At 37.0% G+C, this 9,029-nt stretch overlaps 1 annotated feature.

Annotated features, from left to right (window-relative positions):
- Window positions 8,162-8,362: a silencer, noted in NCBI's record as "peak6403 fragment used in MPRA reporter construct". NCBI's record gives its function as "represses an SCP1 promoter by STARR-seq MPRAs in K562 erythroleukemia cells {active_cell/tissue: K562}" and the evidence as "EXISTENCE:reporter gene assay evidence [ECO:0000049][PMID:32103011]".

Consider the following 9,029-nt stretch of genomic DNA (forward strand, 5'->3'; position numbering starts at 1 on the left):
AGCACTGGGATAATTAATTCTGTGTATGGAACAAAATTAAATTGTATGTCTATATCACACCATTCATACAAAAACACCCTTTAAACAAAAACAAATAAACAACAAGGCTTTGAAAATAAAGGTGGCACACATCAGAACAGGAAGACTTGCTATCCTCTTATACATGGTAGCCACTCGCTTCACTGTTCAGTCATCATCAAAAGAAATCATAAAAATAAAGAGCAGATAAATTTATGAGGAGAGAAATATGGTTACAAAAAAAAGGGACAGTTGTAAATCAAAATAGAAGCAACATTGTAAACCAAACAATTGGTTTAAGTGAGAAAGAGAAAATTAAAATTAAAACAAGAGGCTAAAATATGGAAAATTATAAGGCTAAAGATTTAATATTTTAGAATGAAGTAATACTTAAGAAAAAAAGCAAAAGTTAGGGAGATTTTTTAAAAAGTGATAACGTTACAATAAATCTAATACCTAAAAGATAAAGACTTAACAAACATTTTAAAGAAATGAAATTAAGGGTTGACAGAAGAGAAGGAAAAAAAAGAAAAAAAGCAAAAAACATTAGAAAGAGACAAGGAAGGTGCATCACACGAAGGTTGCTGAGGGCTGTCCAACTTCCTTGGGTATATTGTCTTCTACTAAGAACTTCATTGTCTTTGCTTTCTTCTCAGAGATCTGAGGGGCAGAGAATCACAGACTGCCATTTCTTTATTTTATTATATAATTTATTCTATACAAGTTGACAGAAATCTTTTTTATTTCTGATATACACCATAATGTTGCCATTTTACTCTTTTTTTTTTTTTGATCACAAGAGAAAACACTTCAGTTTGTCCATTTCAAATCTCTGAAGTTGTAAGGTTGTTTTCATGTACAGATAAAACCCACGCCATACTCAGACAGAAAGCCTTTTACAGTGTACTAAGAATAATTTATGTATTTAATGAACAAGTTTTTGCTCCCTAAACCTTGGGAGCAAGAAGTACCATATTATTATTATTTGAAAACGAGTTTTACTCTGATTTCCAATAATGAGAATCTTTGAGGCTTACAAGGTTCTTGAAACTCAGGTGAAGATTTGGTCCTTAAGCTGTGGTAAATTCCATTGTTGTTTTTTCTCCTTCTGTTACTGGTGAAGGAGGGCCTTGACGATGAGTCCTCCAGGTTCTTGGCATTTTGAACAAAGAATTGGACAAAATGCACTAACAAAGCAATAAAAGAATGAATCAACAAAAGCATAGATTTATTAAAACAAAAGTACACTCTATAGAGTGGGAGCCAGCTTCAGCAAGTGGCTTACCAGCCCTGGCTATAGAATTTTCTGGGGTTTAAATACCCTCTAGAGGTTTCCCATTGGTTCCTTGGTTACATTCTATGTAAATGAAGACCTGGCACGTGGCCAGTCTGATTGGTTGTGGGAGGCAACCAATCAGAGGCTGAAGTGAAATTACAAAGGTACCACCCCTATAGAGTTGGCTCGTGACCAATCTGATTGGTTGCAGGAGGGTACCAATCAGAGGTACTTTCCATTTTTCATCTGTGATGCATAAAGGTGAGGGGTTGCAAAAGAAGTGGCCTCTGATCCTTTTGTTACTTAGGCATGGAGAGGTGGGGTTTTCCATTTGATCCAGTTCTAGGAAGTCAGCTTGAACTGGCCTTAGGTTCCCTGCCTCCAGATCCTATTCTCCTGCTGCACTTCCGCTGCACAACCAATGACAACCTCCTCCTATTGAATGTCACTCAGAGCAGACTTAGCCACAGAGAAACTTGCTCTTGCTCTCACGTGCTGTGTTTCAGAGCCAGGCTTGACAGGTGTCCTTTTTCCACTTCGCCTCAGGCCTGCTGAAGACAAAGAGTGGCTGTATATGTCACCATTCAGTATGTCATTACTGAAGAGCTACACTGATTTCCTCAAAAACCCCTTCTCTGAAAGAAAAATTTTAGGTTGATTTTGACCCTATACCTTCTATGATACTTCTTGAATTGCAGTCTAAAATAGCACCTCCATTCTCCAATCCACTTGCAATGATACAAAACTTCACAAGGTAACTGTTTCCTGTCCAGTTCCCTGTGGGCTACAGAGATTCTAGCGAACTTCCATACTCAGCCAAATCGTGAAAAGATTTTATTTAGAAACTCACACTCAAAAAGGAAAGCTTTCCTTTTATCGGCTGGCTTTGTTTGGCAGTGTCGTCTTGTAGCAACTGACTCAGCTCTTACCTAGTCTGACAAAACTCAGATGGGGCTTCGCTTCTATTGTCTCTCTTAAACATCTTAGCTCTTTCATTGTTTCATGTTAGAAAAGATTGAGGGGGGAAAAAGGCAATGAGATTTACCCTCTGGGGTTTTGGGAACAATCTAAAACTTTGAAATTTTCATTTTTGTTCTAGAACAATTTTCTGGCTGATAAAATTTTCATTTAATTCAGGTATTTTCTTCTTCCACAAAATGTTGCAGTATCTAAAACCCACCTTCTGGGAAATACTGGTCTGGTTTAGCCCTCTGCTAAAAAAGGTTACTATTGTTTTATTTAGAAATACTTAAATGAATCCTTTCAATTTCCAGAATTCTCTTAACATCCAGAGCCTTATACAGGAAGATGAGCCTAAAAATCAATAATCAGTTGGTAATTTATTTTCCATAAGTCACAAAGTCAATTACATTAAGTTCTTACATTAAAATGTACTTTTCTAAAATAAAAAGTTATTGCTTTTATGTTCACAGGGCATTACTATTTTTGTAAATAACAGAATAAACACTGAGAATCATATTACTTTTTAATAATTGGGATTGGAGTTTTTTTCTGAAAAAAATCACTTAAAAATTCTTCAAATACAAGTTGGAGTAAGAATATGTACTTCATAACTAAACTACAGAAAAATTCCTCAGCTGCCTGGATGTACACTAAACACAGCCATCCTTGGATAGCACTTTTCTGTTACTTTCTTATTCTATTAGTGCTATTTTTGAAGTTTCTGACCTTCACTGCCAGTGAAAGTTCTTTTGATGCCAGTCTTTGATCCATGTGCATTGTAATTCAGATGGAAAGTATAGCATAAATCTAGCTTGAGAGTAGCAAAGATATTTAAATATTTGAAAAAGTTTGCTGGTCTTGGCTAAACATTTAAGCTTTCAAAAAATAATTTACTGGAAGTTAAATGTGAAATATAGTAATAGTACACGTTGTAGTTATGCAGGGCTGAATATATTTTATACTTCTTCAATAGGCTATTTTACATATATGATATACATGAAAATCTGAAATATTTTTTCTTTGCTTTCTATGTTTTGTTATATGCAGAGAATGACTCTTTTACTCCTTGCCTGTGCTCACTATACAACTTTGCCTCTTATTTTAAACAAGCCATGGGGTGACATCATCTCTTAGCACAGACAACAATTTATCCTTTTGATGTAGAGAGATTCAAAAAGTTAGCCACACTAAATATGGTTTTGGTTTTTCTTATATAACAAATGCCACAACCTATATTGACAGCAGAGTCACATCTCTGTACTGCAGACATAAAATGAGAGAATGGGAACTTGCTGTGCTAAACTGCTGAGATCACCATCATACATTATTAATTAAAATAAATAAGAAATAAAAGAAAAAATGACTTTTGCTGTTGCTATTTGAAAGGTCTGTAGTGCATTATCTAGTCATCAATTCAGTTTCTTTCACCACATCATGCACCGTGTTTATACTATGTGGGTGCCAAAATTCTCTCTATGACCTTGTCACTTTAAGTTTTCATAAATTCTCCCCCTCACCCGAGTATCTATCTCATATTCACAAGAAACTCACTTCCCTGAATCTTACATTTACAATCACAGAGCCTAGGAATGAAAGCCAAGCTGCTGTCATCAATAGGTTATTTCAAAATAACTAAAAATAATATGAGCAAATCTGTCACTTGGAAAACTTAAACTGGGTCCCACATGTGGTTTGGTGACCTTGGAAGAAACAGTTAGGCTATATCTACTAGATTCCAAAACAGAGAGCTGAGGTGATCAATTGAGTAACCGATTTTAGAAGAAGGAGGAGGAGGAAGATAAAGAGAAAAATGAGAAAGAAAAATGGAAGGAAAATCAATTTTCTGAAAATATCAAATATTTTTAAAAGAATTTCTTAGACATAAGACTAAAAGAATTATCACTCAATTTAAAAAATGGGGAAATCAATCTACCATGTACTCTTGATAATTTGAAAATATTTCTGCAAACTCACTACTATTCCTTCCTTTAAAAAAGGAAGCGTAATTTCTCTACTCTTGAATGTGGGCTGGACTTGTGACCCACTTTTAACAGCTAGAATATGCTGGAAATCTTGCTATGTGATTATAAAAGGCATAATAGGTTATAAAAAGGATAGCTTTTGCTTGGCTCTAGTTCTATTGTATCACTTTTGAAGGAGACCAGTTGCCATACTGTGAGGACACTCAACTTCCTTGAAAAGGGTTTATATGGAGAAGAAGCAAGGCCTTACAACAGCCAGTGTCGATTTACCAGTCATAAAAGTGAGCCAACATGGAACTGGATACTTCTTCCTTAGTCAGGTATTCACTTGACTGCAGGCTTAACCCACATCTGGCTGTAACATCACAGGAAATCCAAAGCCAGAACTGCTCATCCAAACTACTCCTGAATTTACGACCCATGGAAACTGAGAAATAACAAATGCGTAAAGCTGTTTTTAGATATTAAAGCTGTGGGGTAATAGCAATAGCTACATAGCAATGGATAATTAATATTTAGTCACAATATTAATATTTACTATCTACTCTTTGAATTACAGATGAAGAGAAATGTCTATTATTTTATACATCATCTACGACCAACTTGGTTCTTATATTTCTCCACTTCAATTGCAAAACTAAAAAATGTTTAATGGAAACAAACATAAAGGTTAGTATTAAAGATGAGTTTTTAGCTATGATGCTGTAAGCACTCTCAAGAACAGCACTTATTTCAGAACTGACACTTTTGATGGATAGAGGATAAAATCTTACAACCAAAGTTTTTCCAGAAATGGTTGACATTGTTTTTTCATTTTATTTAATGTTATACCACCTTTTCTGTATACTATGCATTTTTCCTTTCATTATTCTTTTCTATGGTCTATATTAATTATATATTAATAAGAAATCAGTTATAATGCTGACCAGTAAATTTCTCAGTAATGGTTGAAAGATAGGAAAATGCTGTTCTTTTGGAATGGGGGAATATATATATTTTCTATCCTTTTTGTTTGGTATATATCGGGGAACATGCCCCCGATGGTCACGTAGGTTCTTTTCTATTTTCCCTAAGCGTCGGCCGGGTTGAGAAATAAAGGGACAGAGTACAAAAGAGAGAAATTTTAAAGCTGGGCATCCGGGGGAGACATCACATGTCGGTAGGTTCCGTGATGCCCCACAAGCCTCAAAACCAGCAAGTTTTTATTAGTGATTTTCAAAGGGGAGGGAGTGTACAGATAGGGTGTGGGTCACAGAGATCACATGCTTCACAAGGTAATAGAATATCACAAGGCAAATGGAGGCAGGGCGAGATCACAGGACCATAGGACGGGGTGAAATTAAAATTGCTAATGAAGTTTCGGGCATGCATTGTCATTGATAACATCTTATCAGGAGACAGGGTTTGAGAGCAGACAACCGGTCTAACCAAAAATTTATTATGTGGGAATTTCCTCGTCCTCATAAGCCTAGAAGCGCTATGGGAGACTGGGGCTTATTTCATCCCTACAGCTCAACCATAAAAGACGGCCACAGCCAAGGGGGCCATTTTAGAGGCCCACCCTCAGGGACGCATTCTCTTTCTCAGGGATGTTCCTTGCTGAGAAAAATAATACAGTGATATTTCTCCCATTTGCTTTTGAAGGAAGAGAAATATGGCTCTGTTCCGCCCAGCTCACTGGCGGTCAGAGTTTAAGGTTATCTCTCTTGTTCCCTGAACATTGCTGTTATCCTGTTCTTATTTCAAGGTGCCCAGATTTCATATTGTTCAAGCACACATGCTGTACAATTTGTGCAGTTAATGCAATTATCACAGGGTCCTGAGGCGACATACATCCTCCTCAGCTTACGAGATGACAGGATTAAGAGTTTAAAGTAAAGAGAGGTGTAGGAAATCACAAGGGTATCGATTGGGGAAGCGATAAGTGTCCATGAAATCTTCACAATTTATGTTTAGAGATTGCAGTAAAGACAGGCGTAAGAAATTATAAAAGTATTAATTTGGGGAACTAATAAATGTCCATGAAATCTTCACAATCCACATTCTTCTGCCATGGCTTCAGCCAGTCCCTCCGTTCGGGGTCCCTGACTTCCCGCAACAGGGATAAGCATTTATTTTGTTTCATTCTTTCAAATGCATTCTCATATAAAAGCAATGTTTATTTATATTATTTATTTAGAGCTCCAATTTGTAATTACATAAAGAAATATAATTTTCAAATACCCAGAAATAGAGTAAGTAGAAAAGAAAGTTAATGTATACAAAATCATTTGATTATTTACCTTGTCAGTAGGCTAGTATATTGGAATTTTGGAGTCAGGGCCTTCAAATTTATCTGGTATGACCTTCTCAGTTTATATCAATGAAAAATTAAAGCCCAAATAAGTTGAGCAAACAGTCGGGGGAATAATACTAGAATGCAAGTCTAGTAGAGTGTCCATTCCACTTTATTATGTTGCTTCTTATTTTGAAAATATTTTTGTCAGCTTGACAAGTTTACATTTGTTACCAGAGTCACTATCTTATTGTCAAAATTGTGTACCATTGTTTTCCTTCCCATCTGACTAGACTTTGGAACATAAGCTTTTGTCTTTGTTGTACTCTCTCGGCAAAGCCAGTGTGTGTCACATATACATCTAACTTGTCTCCCTTCTACTTCTGCCCAGTAGAAAGCTGGCTGGAGAAAAGCACACCACATCACTTTAAACATGACCACAAATTTAAAGTGAGCTTTTAATGATGCCTAGAATTCACGTTGTGGTTTCCTAATCTAGTCACTCTCCCATTTTCCTTGATGACTATTTCAAATTGTCTTTCCTCTCTTCAAATCTTCAACACCTACTCCTTTCTGCTTATTCTCAGTCCATGACCCAACATGCTATTTTTCTGAGAATATTGAAGCACTCAAAAGAGAATTACAGAAAGCCTCAGCAAGCACATTTGTCCATCATTACCAGAGCCTGTGAACTGTGTCTGTTCCTGAAGCCTATCTCTACTGTAAGCACTGGCCAATTCTTCCATCTATGTGCCAGTTTCTGTGTGCCCACTCAAGTATATTGCTTAAGAAAATCTCTCTTTGCTGTGTCATTGTTTCTTTTCTCTCTATTGAAATTGTTCTCATAAATCAAATTTTCTATGTATCTCCCACCTTAAAATAATTCTCCTTAGATCTTTCACCTCTCCCTGGTTACCACACTAGATTTTTCCATTACTTAAAAGAAAACTTCTCAAAACAGTTTTCACCAGCACTCTCTAATTTCCTTGCCTTTATTTTCCTTGAATTCACCATAGTCAGGCTTTCATGCTTACAACTCCATTGAAATCACTCTTGTCAAAGTTACCAATACCTCTGCATTGTGCCTATTCTTAGTACCATCTTTGGTCTATCAACAGCATTGGACAGAGTTGAAGGGCCTCTTGTCCTGAAAATGCTGTCTTCACTTGGCTTTCAAGATACTCCACTGTCATGGTTTTCCTCCTGAGTTACAGGTTGCTCATTCTCAAGCTCTTTTGCTGATATCTCCTCTGTGTGCCTATCTAAAATTAAAGTGTTCCAGGGTTCCGTCTTTTGTTTTTAATTCACACTTGAGCTTTAGGTTTAATAAAATATCAACTTTAAGATAATCAAATCTTGACTAATCCTAAATGAACCGAGAACTCATCCTTGAATTTCCAACTTGCATAATTAACTGCCTATTTGACATTTTCACCTGGACGTCTAATGGTCTAATGGACATCTCAATATTAACATATTCAGAAATAAATTCCTTATATTCTTCATTCTAAAAGCTGATTTTTCTTCAGTCTTTCTCATCACTTAGAGACAATTCCATCCTTCCAGTTGCTCATGCCAAAATTCCTTGAATCATCCTCTTTCTCTAATACCATAAATCAGTCTGTCAGCGAATTGTTATGGCTCTGTCTGCAAAATATATCCAGAATATCATCATTTCTCACCATATCTTCTTCTACCACCCCTGTCCAATCCACTACTATCATTCTCAAGCCTCTCCACCAGTCCGCCAGCATCTGCCATGAACCCCTTCAGTTTGTTCTTATCACAACTGTCCATAGCTTTTTATAAACATAAATTGGATCAGATCAACTCTCTGCTCATCATTCTTCAAAGGCTTTCCATGTCATCTCAAGTAAAAGCCAAGTTATGGCCGGGCGCGGTGGCTCACGCCTGTAATCCCAGCACTTTGGGAGGCTGAGGCAGGTGGATCACGAGGTCAGGAGATCAAGACTATCCTGGTTAACACGGTGAAACCCTGTCTCTACTAAAAATACAAAAAGTTAGCTGGGCGTGGTGGCAGGCACCTGTGGTCTCAGCTACTCGGGAGGCTGAGGCAGGAGAATGGCGTGAACCCGGGAGGTGGAGCTTGCAGTGAGCTGAGACTCCACTGCACTCCAGCCTGGGCGACAGAGCGAGACTCCGTCTCAAAAAAAAAAAAAAAAAAAAAAAAAAAAAAAAGCCAAGTTATCGGAAACGATCTAGACTCCTGTTAAAACCTCTGGCCTCATCTGCTACAATTCCACCTTGCTCACTTTGTTTCAACCACATTGGCTTCCTTACTCTTCTTTAAACAAATCGGACATGCTCCCACATCAGAGCCTTTGCATTGGATGTTTCCTCTCCTGACACTTGCATTTCCGTTGATATTCATGTGGCATTTTTTACTTCCACCAGATCTTTGCTTGAATGTCACTTTCTCCATGAAGACTTTTTGTCAACTCTATTTAAAATTGCACTTCCATGTACTCCCTGCAATCATTCCCTTCTTCTGTTT

The sequence above is a fragment of the Homo sapiens genome, chromosome 7, assembly GCF_000001405.40.
Source record: "Homo sapiens chromosome 7, GRCh38.p14 Primary Assembly".
Classification (NCBI taxonomy): Eukaryota; Metazoa; Chordata; class Mammalia; order Primates; family Hominidae; genus Homo; species Homo sapiens.